This window comes from Homo sapiens, chromosome 15 (assembly GCF_000001405.40).
Source record: "Homo sapiens chromosome 15, GRCh38.p14 Primary Assembly".
NCBI lineage: Eukaryota > Metazoa > Chordata > Mammalia > Primates > Hominidae > Homo > Homo sapiens.
This window is the reverse complement of record NC_000015.10, coordinates 71,131,779-71,146,901: the sequence shown is the minus strand read 5'-3', so window position 1 is coordinate 71,146,901 and position 15,123 is coordinate 71,131,779. Positions and strand designations below refer to the sequence as shown.

The following is a 15,123-nucleotide window of genomic DNA, read 5'->3' as shown; positions in this document are numbered from 1 at the left end:
AGTGAGTGATGAGGACAGGATCCAGGTACAGGGCTGTGCCAGGCATAAAGAAAAATCAATACTGTCTGAATGCTTGCCGTCATTTTACAGATGGGGGTTTGCCAGGGCAGTCCTCCAAAAATCTATTTTATTTCCTCCTAGCCTCTATGCCTACCACTCAGATGGCTCCTCCCGGGCTTCCCACAGACAAGACTGCGGCCGATTCTTCCCTGGACACTTGCACACTTCTGCACCCCCCAGATGTACTGTGTTCATATAGTGTCAACCATGTTTCCACACCTGTTTATGCCAGTTGCTATTGCTTTGTAGTGACATAAGTATTCAAATAGTACACAAACCCATGAAAGCAAGCACAAGAAGAAAGAACATTTGTTAGTTGTTTCTACAAAAATGAAGTTAATTGCTTTGGAAAGTTTCAATAAAGGCAAGCAGCCAAGATTAAAAAAAAAAAAAAAAAACTACTGGCAAATTAGGTGTGGATGAGACAACTGCAAATGATTAGGGGCAAAAATAATAAAAATCCAGAATCATTCTGGTACTCAGACTGCTTTGCAAATGTCTTTATATTCTCACTGCACTTTAAAGAAACCCAAATGGAAACCTCACATAATGCTTATGGGTGTGGTTTGTGCAAGAAAGACAATCGGGTTCATGAGCAAAGAAAGGCCCATGGCCCCAAATCAAAAACTGGTGAATGGATGTACATGTGTTTTAAGTTAAAAGTAAACTGTTGAAGGTGTGTGTGTGTGTTATTTGTTTGATTTCCATGCTTCACCCTACTTTTGTAATTAACTAGCTAACTATCCTGGTCAGGAAAGAGAAAATTTCAACCTTATCTGTTGTACATAAAAGGTAGTTATTAATTTATTCATTTACTCTTCAACAAATATTTATTAAGCATTAACCAAGTAGTAGTTTAGATGTCAGTTACACAAATTCTGGCCTGCCTTATTAATACCATGAAGTTTAATACTTGTGATCCAGGCCTGGCCTCCCCTTCCCTTTGCTCCTCTTCCCCTCCTCCTCCTGCTCCTCCTCCTTCTCCTTCCCTCTCCTTCCTCCACTCCCTCCTCCCCAACCTCTTTCTCCCCATTTCCTGATCACTGGCACAGGGACACTGATCGACTCCATGACCCCACACAATTATTACATATTTCTTTACCCCCAAGGGAAATTTCAGTTTTCACTGATCAATTGTACCTTAAATATCACTACTTGGGGCATTCTCTTTCTCACACATAAAAACACGTTTTCTTAACCCCTTTCTTCCTTTCTGTATTCAGGATCTTTTTCAATTACTCCTAAGAACAGCCACCTTTCTCTTTCTCATTTCCTCAACCCTTTTGGTTGTATTTCTAAGTGCAGTAGCTGACAGGCATTAAAGTAATAATACTTTACTGAAGTATGCATCAAGGAAAAGAAAAACTTTACGTTTCAGAAGACTAAAACCAGACACTTGACCTAGGGCCATCAACCTATAAAACCCTTAAAATAATCCAGAAGTCTCCCTCATAAGATCTATAAAAATCACCTTCTAACTCTGTAATCACTCTCATTACATCTGTAATTCTTCAAAAACTACTGTTCAAAATAAAAATCACCAAAATCAATTTTATTTCCTGCCAGTTTCACTACTTGTTTGGCATTTGATAGTTCTGTTTTTCTCTTTGCTTTCACTTGAAATATAAAATACGTCAACCATACAAAAGCACTCCTTGAAGTAAAGGAAGAAGCACCTGGTCAAGCAGACTGGCTCCAGAGATTTTGTTGGCTGGCCAGGTCAGGTAGCCATCAGCATTTATTGTACTGTTCTAGGGACAAAATTATGTTTCCTTCCTATCACTCACTGAACAAACAAATAAAGATGTAATTGTGCATCCAAAAAAAAAAAAGTGCATAATTTGGAGCAAGTCTTTAAGAAACATAAATAATTCTGTATCATTTAGTGCCATTTCCTTTCTAATTTTTAACAGGTGACAAACATTCCTCATTAAGGATTAGCCTACACTTTGGTCCACATGGACTTTCATTGCCCTGAATTTTACATGGCATCCAGAGCTTGTCCAAGATTCAATGATAATTCCCAACCAGATCCATCGAGAGTTAGAATCTTAGTGCCTCCTCTGCTACTAGGTTTAACTGTGATTCTTTTTATTACTACACACTCTGAGCAAGGCAGAGATACTCTTGCGATGTTAATGCCCAAGGCTTCTCTGTCTCCTTCAATGAGAAGGAAGCTGGTTTTCTGTTTCTCTGTGGCTTGGCAAAAAATGGGGAGGGGTTTTTAAATGAAATCTCTGTGTATCAGAGTTGTGATTCCCCTTAAATGTTCTTTCAGGGATTTTCTTGGCAGCTAATTCCTAATTTTAACCTGTTTTCTCTTAAGGTAGAGAAATTCTCCAGCTTCTCCAATTGATCTTTATGTATTTAGTTGCCTTGATAAATATTAAAAATCCCTTCACATGTGTGTGCGTCTGTGTGTGCTTCTCATCTACCACTTTTGTCAAAGACCTCTCACGCTTCAAGTAACCCACAGCCCTTTTCCCCATAACATTCTGAAAAGCATTTAAACAGAAGACACTCTACTTTTGCTTCTTTTTCTCTTAAAAATATATTTACATGGCCCTAAAAACAGGGATGCAAAATGGTTGATGTGCACCTGGTTTATGAAGAAGGGAGTTTGATGGGAATCTCAAGCTGAGATCTCCTAAAGAATCAGCTGTCCTCATAATTCACATTTTCTTCCTCTAGTATTGACAGCAGAATTCTTGGCAAAATGTCCCGCTGAGCAGCTCTGTTCAAACAATCCCTGCAGCAGGACTCTCGTGCTGGAGGCCTGTCAAGGCTTCCAGAGCTCCACCACAAGGGTAGCATCTAGCTTTCAACTACTCCCATCCTGCTAATTTCCCTTCTGTGGGCAATTTCCTTGAAATAATGCACAGTTTAGAGGTGAGTTCCCCAGGCCTCCCGCAAAGGGAGATGATCTCCATACCACACACCCTGCTCAGATCATTACAGGAGACTGTTTGCAGGGGCATTAATTAAAATTCCAGGACATGGCTATTCGTACTTGGGAGGCAGAGGTGGAGGATCGCTTGAGCCCAGAAGTTCAAGGTTACAGTGAGCTATGATTGCGCCACTGTACTCCAGCCTGGGTGATAAGCAAAATCCTGTCTCTTTTGAAAAAAAAAAAAAAAAAAAGAAAGAAAAAAAAAAGAAAGAAAAAAATCCAAGACATTAAGAAAAAACTTTGCAAAAGGGATTTCCTCCCAAGAAACTCCCTGCCTGTGCAGCCTGGGTGGCCACATTTTTGAGGGTCCTCAAGCACTTTTAGGGGCCTTTTTGACGACAGCCAGACTTACACAAGCTTAGCACATGGCGAACCTACCTTTCATAATCTGCTTGCCCTTTTCGAATAAGTTCAATAACCGACTGTGACCTCCACTTCTTTGTCCTACATGGGGTCCTGGGTGCTTAAAATGCCATGGTCCTACAATGACCCTGTGGGCCAACTGCATTTCTCACTACCCTATAGTTTTATAACAGTATTTTGGAACTTCCACAAACTAGATGCATATTTCATGTCTTGAAATATCTTTTAAACTCTTTTTTAAACTATAGTTTTAAAAAAGCACACATGCTAATTTGTACTAGATGCCAACTTCTATCCTGAAGAGATCACCAAACGTTAATTTGGGCTGTCCTCCTCGTGGCTCAATATCATACAGCCTTCAGAATGAAGCTTTTTCTTTCTTTTCTGACCATATCTGACATGCATGTGAATATGTCATTGATAAAGAGGTTTGTAGTTCTCTGCGGGTATTTGGATTGCAGGCCTGCACACGTCTGCCCATGTAAAATTATACAAGCAACTACATACTAAAGCTCACACACATGCACTGCACTCAGTTAAATGCCAGGCATTAGCCCAAGGGCATCTGCTTGGCAAATGCTCTAGCCCTGGTTGGCCAACCACCTGTGGCACCATCATATGTAATATGCTATATATTACAGACCATTTTACTTTCTGTTATAAGTTCTAGGCATGTGGGACTAATGTACAGGTATGGAAAAAAGACTACAAGATATCATAATGATTCAACTTGGAAACAAAACGTTCTTCCTTCCCCTCATTCCAGATTCTCAGTCAATTTATTTAAATAGTATCCTAAAATAGTAAGATGAGCTTCATCACAGAATTGTTACCAATTGCAAGTACTTACCTGTAATGGGTTAGGATTTTCTTAATGCTACACAGCTAAAACAGCTGCAAAATAAACTAGATGCTTGGGCAGATATTTAAGCTGCCAACCATAAATCCTGATTTCAAATGTCGGTATTTATCAAAATTAATGCATTGATCTCATAATGTATAAATATTATAAATTTAAACTTATAAAGTAAATTTATATTAATAAAATACTGTCATTGTCTATTTTATATATTGAGATTTTGCATAGGATTTTGATTGAAGAATTTTTAAAAGGCTCTGTCAGCCTTTTTAAAAAGTTTGAAAACAACTTCGATAACATGGACTACAGTTGCAATGCTCAGAGCCCTTATTCTAACTCTGCACATAAAGGAAGGTGACAGCCATGATGTAAGCTCTCTGAGCATTGGTTTTCTGATCTACACAAAAGGGATAATAGTACTTACTCAACTTGCCACGCATGGTTGATATAAAGATTGAATTTTAAAACGCAGGTGAAAGTCAAAAATGTTTTGTACATAAGGGACAAGAGAGAGCACCATTTTAAAATACCAGATTCAGTCAAAATCTATGGCGTTGCAACCAGAGAACAATTTTTTTAAGTTCTTTAGAAAATTGTATTATGCAACCACGGTAAATATACATTGATCTGACCCCACCTCCAGGGTTCAAGTGATTCTCCCGCCTCAGCCTCTCCAATAGCTGGTATTACAGGTGCCTGCCGCCATGCCCAGCTAATTTTGTATTTTTAATAGAGATGGGGTTTCACCACGTTGGCCAGAGTGGTCTTGAACTCCTGACCTCAGGTGATCTGCCTGCCTCAGCCTCCCAAAATGCTGGGATTACAGGTGTAAGCCACTGCATCCGGCCTAAAAAAATTTTCTTGAAGCCTACAGAAGGTCTCCCAGAAGATAGTAGATTGACTTCGACCCCAAGCCACTCAGCACAGCACACAGCTCCCAAGGCCTTGGAGGCCCTTCTGAATAGCAAACTTTTACACAAGTGGACGTATTATATCAAAAATATCAGTCAGCTGCAGACCCTTAAGATCACTTACTTTAAGAAATGACAGAGTAAAATGCAAATATCAAATTTCTTATTCTCCTGTTTTTTTAAAAAAAGTTTCTTCACTTACCTGAGAGACCCCATGAAATGGGAAACCATGATGCTGGGGGTCCAGGCAAAAGCAAGGGCTCTTCAGAGACGTTGCCAATTTTCTGCAATTGGGAGTTGCGTTCAAGTCCTATGGAAATGAACAATGTTATTTTTAGCAACATTTACTTAGGAAGATTCTAGAAGCGTAACTCGGTCAACAAAACCAGAAATGAGCAAATGGAAGATACTAAAACAAAAGTGCCCAGTTATGGTTCCCAGGATTTCCCAACTGAAATCTGATTATTTATGAACATGAGGTAACAAGTTTACAAGACAACCAGCACAGTGCCTGACCCACAGAAGATGTTCAGTAAATTACTATCAGAACGATCACCTCAGACTCTGAGCTAACAGGGGAGCTGGTGCTAGGCACACTTGTGCTGGAAATCCAGCCCCATCTATTACAGGCTATTTGACCATAGATGTCATGTCACATTCATGTGTCTTGGTTTCCCTAACAGTGCAAGTTGAGTAAAAATATTGTCTAACAACAAAAAGAAATAAAGTACTCATACACGCTACAATGGGGATGAACCTTGAAAACATTATATTAAGTGAAAAGAGTCAGATACAAAAATAGCATGCATTATATGATTCCATTTATAGGTAATGCCTAGAATAGGCAAATCTATAGAGACAGAAAGTAGATTCGTTGGTTGCCAGGGATTGGGGGTTGGGAGGAGTTCATGGGAGGGTACAGTGTTTCTTCCTGGAGTAATAAATGTGTTCTAAAATTAGATTGTGGTGATGGTTGTACAACCCTGCGAATATACCAAAAACTACTGAATTGTACACGAAATTGTGAAACGTATGGGAAATAAATTATATCTCAATAAAACTTATTTAGAAAATACTGTCTAAAGAACTCCTGCAGGTTGTTATAAAGATTAAATGAGGGAACGCATGTGACATGCTTAGACTGTGGCTGGGGCAGCGTCACCCTCAGTAAATGGTTGCTCTGATGATACTGAGAGTTTGGATACTTGTCCTCTTCCAATCTCATGCCGAAAACTGATTCCCAGTATTGGAGGTGGGGTCCATTGGAGGTGTCTGGTCATGCGGGTGGGTCCCTCATGAATGCCCTGATGCCCTCCTTGTGGTAATGAGTGAGTTCTCACTCTATTAGTTAGGGTGAGATCTGATTGTTAAAAAGAGCCTAAAAGGAGTCTGGCACCTCCTCCCTTCTCTCTCACTCCCTCTCTTGCCGTGTGACACACTGGCTGCCCTTCCTTCTCCACCATGATTGAAAGCTTCCTGAGGTCCTCACCAGAAGCAGATGCCAGCCAGCACCATGCTTCTTGTACAGCCTGCAGAACTGGGAGCCAAATAAACCTTTCTATAAATTACCCAGTCTTAAGCATTCCTTTATAGCAATGCAAAATGAACTAATATGGTGATGCAAGAAGAGGTCAAACAACACTTAAAATACGTTGTCACAGTGAAAACATGGAGGTAAAATCTCTCGCCCATAAATACTACTTCATTCAGAAGCCCTCACTAAACAAAATTTCTAAAAATTGTCAAGTGAGCCAATAGTTTCAAAGGCAAGTTATGAATAGCAACAGAAAGCCCAGGATGGGCGGGTTGGTTGCAACGTAGTAAAACTTAGAGAATAAAACAGAACATGGCCCAGTCTCCTCTCCTGCTGCAACTCCTTGAAGGGAAAGACAAATGAAGCAAGGTTCCAAGGTGGGCCAGGGATCCTTTCTAATAAAGGTGGAGTTCTCTAAGATCATTATTTTCTTGTTTCTTCCAGAGACTTCAGACTTCCTTTTCACCAGAAAATGTGGGTGGGAAAATAAAGGACAAGGATTTACAAAAAGATAGTCATGAGAACCAGACAATTCCATTCTCAGGGAAAAAGAATCAAGATTTTAAGTTACCACAGGCCCTTTCTGCGGGTTATTAAGAAAGTAAAGCCTCTTAACTGTAATCATCCCTAATTAGCCATCAGCAACTCATGAAATTACTCCTGGTATTGAAGACCCTTAAATTCTTGGCTCTCAGTCAGAAATTACACTGAGATCCACCAGGAAGAAGGCCAACAAGTGCAAATTGGAACAGTTAAAATGCCTTTGAATCAGAGGTGTGGTCTTCTTGCTCTTGGCTGCAGAACAGGTCTGCACCAAGTCAGGGGATTTAACTTGGAAGTCAAATGAAGTCTTTGCCAAGTCCCTGATAACCATCAACTAATCAGTAATTATTTACTCAATAGGTGGTAGGCTCAGGTCCTCTCCAGTGCTGTGGGAATGGTCTGGGAGATGAACCATGGGGAAAATGATGGTGTTATTATCCAGAACAACACAGGGTAAACTGTTCATTCAGACCCTAAGTACAACTCAAACTAGCAGAATCGCTGTAGAGGGATGGTCTGGCATAAGCAAGGTAGATGGGACTTAAATTCAAGCCTTAGCCTAATGAGATAGTAAATCAACTATCTAGAATTGTTGGTAAGTGTGCACACTGTAATTGGAAAGAAATGGGTGTGAGGCTAGCATTCACATTTATTAACTAGCTGACCTTTGGCAATTAACCTTTCTTCATCTGTAAAATGGGGGGGGGAGGGATACTGTTTGTAACTACCTCATAGGGTTGTTATATTAAATATTTATCTAGACTGTATGGCCTGAGTGCTGAACACAAACACACACACACACACTCACACACACACACACCAAGAAATTACAGCCTCGATGCTGGAGAACTACACTCTTTAAACAAACTAAATCATAAATAAGTATAAAAATAAAATTGCATTAAGAGCCATGAAAGTCCAAGGTGCCTCAGAAAGTGCCCTGGGCAGTGATCAGAGAAGATCCCTCTGAGGCAGTGGCCTATACGTGGTGGCTTGAGGGGTGAGTAGGAGTTGGCCTTGTGGAGGGGGGAGGGAAGCATCCCAGGGAGAGGGAGGCTCTTGTGAGGAGTGGGAGGAAAAAGGAAGCAATGTGGCAGGAGAAGGTGGGAAGAGCTGACTGTCTACTGGGCAGTCAAGTCCCCAGAACACAGTAAGTGAATGGTTGAGGTGACAAGAGAAAGAGAGGTGTCAAAGACAACTCCCTCCAGATTTCTGGGGGACAGAAGGAGCAAATGGAGATTTTGTGGTTGACAATGTTTGGTTCTGTGTCTCCACCCAAATCTCATCTCGAATTGTAATCCCCATAATCCCCACGTGTCAAGGGAGGGACCAGGTGGGAAGTGACTGGATCATGGGGGCAATTTCCCCCATGCTGTTCTTGTGATAGGGAGCGAGTGCCCACAAGATCTGATGGTTTCATAAGGTAGCTTTCCCTGCTCTTGCTTGTTCTCTCTCACCTGCCGCCATGTAAGATGTGCCTGCTTCCCCTTCCACCATGATTGTAAGTTTCCTGAGGCCTCCCCAGCCATGCAGAACTATGAGTCAATTAAATCTCCTTTATTTATAAATGACCCAGTCTTGGGTAGATCTTTATAGCAGTATGAGAACAGACTGATACAGTGGTTGTGTCAGGAAAGGAAGGGCAATATGAAAGGAAGAAGGTTTGGGGGAGAGCAGTTGTCCCCAGAGTGAGGAGACTGCCTGAACAGATCTGATAAGATGTCAACCGGAAAAACATCTGAAATTATCAAAACCTTTGAAAACAGATTTGCAACCTTACTGCTGATAGTAACAAAATAAATAACCAGACATATATTGAAGTTGTATGCTTATTTTTTTACTGATGTAAAAATTGTTACAATCAGTGCAATCAAAAAAAATTATTGGAGGCCACTGCTCTAGTATGTTTTTGGACCAACTTCTTATCAGATTTGATTGGTCACTTCTCCCTCAGGATACGGCTGATGAGCTTGCACTGGCAGTTTCCAGCTCTGCCATTCTTCTTGGCTGTTACTTGAGCTTCCGTGATTAGTATTGTGTTAAATCAGCCCTGCTTTTCAAACTGGGGGTCACCACTCATGAGTCTGCCATGAAATTAATTTCTTGGGTCACGAACAGCATTTTTTAATAAGTAAAAAAGAATGAAAGATAAGAGAAAAAAATACCTGCATTCATCACGCATAATAAGGGTATTTCTTACTGTGGATCCCAGCCAGAAAAGTTTAAAAGTCCTCATTCTGGAAGACCAGAGGGCAGCGGAGGCCTAGAACTGTGATTGTGGGGAATTAAACCTAGAAGCCAAGGCAAAGCCAAACATTATCTCAGGCCCTGAAAGGTGGCGCCAGGCCAATGTTGACAAGATGGGCAAGAAAGAGCCATTGTAGGTTGTAGAGCAGGGAGGGACCTGGAAAGAGTGAGGGTTCCCAAATATCCGTCTGGCAAGGGTGCACCGAGAGGGCTGAGCACACGTGCTGTCTGCGGAGCTCTGTCCGCCTTTTGAGGTTTGCTCCTGTTGATTTATAACCTTTCTTCACAGTGAACAAAAAATCTAACAATCTAGTTTCTGTTAGAACATATGCTCCTTGGGAGATGGAGGCCCCACCTTCTCTCCCTTCCACAAAGATCCTACAGGAAGGTTGAATGAGTCACCTGATTTGGTTCAGGCCAAAGTGGCCATCCCCACACACCAGGAGGAGGCAGCAGCAGGCCCAAGGCTCAGGACGGTGGGGTCAGACAGAGGGTCAGGATCATCAAACTAAGGGTGGAAAAGGATTCCCTGAGCCGAAGGGATGCCATGCTGCCTGAACTATGACACCATTCTGCCGCCCCTTACACACAGGCCCACCTCTGAGTATCCTTCCTGCCCCTTCTCCTCAGGGCCTGACCAGAACTCCTGGAGGACCCCCTCCTGGAGGAACCCATGCCTCAGAAGACAAGGATCTGCTCAGTCTCTCAAGTCGGGGTTCAGGAAGGCCCCACTGCAGGCGCCAGTTCCACCTCCCTCCCTCCCTCCCTCCTACACACGCTGTCCTCTGGAACTCCCGCAGCCTAAAGCAACTACCCAAACAAAAGCACTCATCCCTGGGGAGGGGAAGTGACTCACTGGCAAGGAATGAGGACCAGAGATGCTAGAAGGAAGTAGCTCCAGACCCCAAATCCAGCACCCAGTCACATGTGGTGAGGACACGTTCTCAGAACCTGCCTAGGAAAGCTGCCTCTGAGGGTCCCAACAGGGCAAGACAGGAGCCTCCACCACTGCAGCCTTGTCCTGTCTGTACCAACATCACCAATATGCTCTCCTGTCCTGCTGACATTTACGCAAACTCTCCTTATGCAACCTTGACCATCTGTTCGCAGTGCCCCTACCGTCCCCAGTCTGACATTCTAGGTGGTGGTGGATAAAAGCATCAGGACGTTGGCTCCCGACATCAGGGCAGTTCCAAACCACTTTTTTCTTGCATGATGAGAAAAGAGTCGGGAATTGGCTTTTACTGGATCGTCCCACCTGAGATGGGACGTAAGTCATGCTATACAACCCTCACAACAAACCAAGGCCACACAGCGGGTCTAGGGTAGCTCAGACACAGGGAACCAGCACCTGGATAAGTAACGGGGTTTGGGGAAAGATGATTGGTTGAGTGGACAGGAAAGCTTCTGGAGTCTTAAAAAAAAAAAAAAAAAAAAAAAAAACTAAACTAAACAAAAAACCAAAGGACTTGTGTGTTTGGGGAATGAACAAACCCCATACTGGAGAAAGAGCCCAGTGTGAATGACAGAGGACAGGACCGGGGATCCAATAAGGCCCTCAGAGCCAACAGGGGAGGAGGAGAAGGGGCAAGCATGGAGGTGGAAGCCAAGGAAGTTATTGGGAGGAGGCTGCCCCATAATGCATGGAGGTGGGGGCAGGCCCAGGACAAGATGTGCGGAGTGTCCCCTCCACCCCCATCTGAGAAAACTCAGTACATTGGAGAAAGAGCTTTGGCTGGAGAAGGCTGCCAAGAAGAATGGCCCAAAAGCAAGAGGCAGAAAAAGGGATGCTCTTATTTCTTCAAGGTACCCCCTGAATAAATGGCTATTATCCACAGCAAGTGGGAAAAACGGAGGAAGGCATAGGCTTTAAATCATCCTCATAAACAATATGGTGGGCAGACTTGCTAGCTGACAATGGCAGGCACAGGAGAGTCTAGAAGTTGAAAGAGAGGAGATCATCTCCCTTAATAGATACTAGACATACCTGTTTACACTTGCCCCTCACTGCATGGGAAGCTTCTTCTTTTTTTTTTTTTTTTGTCATTTAGTAAGTTTCTTTTTTTTTTTTATTATACTTTAAGTTTTAGGGTACATGTGCACATTGTGCAGGTTAGTTACATATGTATACATGTGCCATGCTGGTGCGCTGCACCAACTCGTCATCTAGCATTAGGTATATCTCCCAATGCTACCCCTCCCCCCTACCCCCACCCCACCACAGTCCCCAGAGTGTGATATTCCCCTTCCTGTGACCATGTGATCTCATTGTTCAATTCCCACCTATGAGTGAGAATATGCGGTGTTTGGTTTTTTGTTCTTGCAATAGTTTACTGAGAATGATGGTTTCCAATTTCATCCATGTCCCTACAAAGGACATGAACTCATCATTTTTTATGGCTGCATAGTATTCCATGGTGTATATGTGCCACATTTTCTTAATCCAGTCTATCATTGTTGGACATTTGGGTTGGTTCCAAGTCTTTGCTATTGTGAATAATGCCGCAATAAACATACGTGTGCATGTGTCTTTATAGCAGCATGATTTATAGTCATTTGGGTATATACCCAGTAATGGGATGGCTGGGTCAAATGGTATTTCTAGTTCTAGATCCCTTAGAATGGCAATCATTAAAAAGTCAGGAAACAACAGGTGCTGGAGAGGATGTGGAGAAATAGGAACACTTTTACACTGTTGGTGGGACTGTAAACTAGTTCAACCATTGTGGAAGTCAGTGTGGCGATTCCTCAGGGAAGCTTCTTAAAGGTAGACTCTTTCAGTCCTCTTTACAAATGCCCTTCCATTAGACATGCTGCCGACACAGGGCGGGCATGCAATCACAGTTGGACAAATGAATGGATGAACGAATGAATGGGTGAATGGGTGAAGAATGAACGGCACGAGTTTCTTACAGACTTTTCCCTCTTAGAAAGCAGGGCCTCCATGTGATTTCTCTCTCCCTGCTTTTGCCAATGTTCAGCCAATGTCTAGACTGCCCTAGGAAGAGAATGAAGGCGCTGAAGGCGCTAAGCCACTGCAGATGCACGCTGCCTCTGTGGAGGTCCCACCCTCCTGAGCTCTCTGGTGGCGGTCATCAATCGTCACAGCCCTTTCAGGAAATCCTGCCCCAGGCCAGAAGTATTCAGGGACGCTGACCTTGGAGCCCCAGGCCCGGTCACATTTCCAGCTGCTCCCTGCCTATGAGGACAGCCAGAGGAATGTTCCCCCAACATGTCCTTGGCTCACAGTCCTTTCTCCTACCACCTCACAGAGGCTGTCCTTTTTGTTCCTGTCATATCCAAACTCAGCTGCAGAACTCATTTCTTCCCATGGAACCCCCACACTGCAGACTGGCTGGCTTGCCCAGAGCAGCGTGAAAACCCACAGAATCTGGATTAGGACTAAACCTTGAGAAGATCTATTAAAACTCCCTGGCAGCTTTCAAGCAAACACATTACAGTGGGTTTTGTTACTCATTAAGGAAAACACCGTGCTTCTCCGTCCTCACCTGGAGAAATTAGGTAATCAGCACAGATTAGTTAAGGATTTCAATGCAAATTGCATCATTTTCATGGTCATTAACAGTGGTGTGGTTTATATCTGTTTTCAGTCCTAAAAAAACGTTTCCCAGGTAACTAAAGAAAATATTCAAGGGCAGAAATATCAGGCGGGTAAGATACTTAAAATAAATGAGCCATTTGTTCCTGCTTCTGTATAAAGTTGCTTTTTCAATTTCAGATGACATGATACTGCAGATCAAAGTGGGGAAAAACCTTTGGAGTAAGAGCGCTTTTCTTCCCTAGATATGACTGACTTCGTTGCTTGATTTACAGCACTTGATTAACCTGGTTAAATTTCTGCTTCTGTGCAAGTCTCAGATGCAGAACTAGGGATCGTCAAAGCGTATCATTATGATTTGTGCTTGTCTTTCCTCCCTCACAACACAGGACCTCTTCCTCAAAGACTTATTTGTTATATTTCTGGTGTCTAGAATAGCACCTGGGGTGCAGCAGGTGTTCCCGATGACAGAAAGGTCTTCCATTCAAACTCAGGTGGGGGCTTTCTTTTCCATGCAGGATTGTGCTGCCTGTCTGAGGCACCACTGCGCAGCCCAGGATCCAAACAGCCACTCCATTCTTCTGCTGTTTCTGAAATTAACATGACATTCTCCACCCTACTCCTAAAGACCACAACACACAAATAAACAGCCGTGATGAGATGCAGGTCACCCTACCTAGGAATCAAAGACACCTAGACACACTCCAGCCTTCCTCCACTCTCAGACTCAACCTCTTCCCAGCATCCGCTGCCAAGAGCAGTTTATAATCCCTGGGTCATAGCTACCAAAGGAAAAAACATCAGACTACCACGGCTGAGCTCTGCATGGGAGCTGCAGCTTTTCTGATGTGCTGCCCTTTCTCCGAGATGATGACCCATCTCATTCCAAAAACCAATATTCTCCAGCTGCCTTGGCCAAAAGCAGGTGGCCAGGGGAGGAAAAGGCAGCTGGGGGCTCAGGCCTTCCTTCCTGCTTTCCAATACAAGGCCTCAGTTCTGCTGCCTACAAATGGCCTCTTGCCACTCTGGTGAGCACGTGTGTACATCTGTGCATGAGCGTACACACATACACACACATACGTGTGTTGGGGAAGGAAGGTGTAACAAGTGCACTGACACTAAAAGAATAAACACAGTAAACACCACATTCATTCACAAGGTGAGGATTCAGGGCTGAGTGGAACACACCCAATGAGGTATTCTTCTGGAAATAAATCTGTCTATAAAATTTATTTATTAAGGAAATCTATTTATTAAGGAAAGTTTGAAACTACAGAAAAATACAAAGAGGAAAGCCAAAATTACTCATTGTAATTGTAATTGTATTACCTAATAACCCAACACCATTAAACCTTTTGATGTTCTTGTTTATTTTTTCTATGCATAATGCTTATACATATCATCTGCATATTTTACATATACTATTTCTACAAAACAAAATCACACATGTAGCTTTGTATTCTATTTTTACCTTACCTCATAAGCATCTCATTAGTAATATTCAAAATCATTTCTAATCACTGCAAAATAGTCCACCCTATGAATGCCTGATAACACATCTAATAATGTTCCCTTATTGTTGGAAAATATGATGAACACCGTTGTATAAAATTCCTTATTTGCTACTCTTCCTTGTTCCTTAGGATAAATTCCTAAAAAATGAAATCATTAAGCCAAAAGGTATGACTAAGGTCCTTCACAATGAATTATTTTCAAAAACAATTGTATCAACCTAGAATCTCACATGTAGTGGATGAAATAAACACATTTGCCAATAATGCTATGATTGCAATCTCTCCTAATTTGATAAGTAATTAGTTAGGGTAGGGTTACTCTGCCACAAACCCCCTCAAAATGTGAATGGCTTAACATAGTAAAAGGATTTTTGCTCAAGTCACTATCTGATGCAGGTTGTCGGGAACATTCTACTTCACACAGTCATGCAGGCATCTGGGGACCCTTTTTCCATCGAGTGATTCCACCATCGTCCGGGTGGAATTCCACCTGGGTTCTTTCCATTCCATGAACAAACAAGGGGAAAGAGAAGGCATAGAGGACTGAGCTAGCAGCTTCACTAAGGTAGCTTAAATCACTGCC

General features: G+C 42.6%; 1 protein-coding gene across 3 annotated transcripts in view; it reads right to left on the bottom strand.

The window, feature by feature from the left end:
• The window catches only part of THSD4 (thrombospondin type 1 domain containing 4), a 686,490-nt gene that overhangs the window by 636,482 nt on the left and 34,885 nt on the right, over positions 1–15,123 (bottom strand). For all 3 annotated transcript variants that reach the window (NM_001394532.1, NM_024817.3, XM_047433080.1), the window contains exon 2: positions 5,346–5,453. In NM_001394532.1, the coding sequence (NP_001381461.1) occupies positions 5,346–5,374 (29 nt within the window). In that variant the 5' untranslated portion in view covers positions 5,375–5,453. The remainder of the gene's footprint in view (positions 1–5,345; positions 5,454–15,123) is intronic.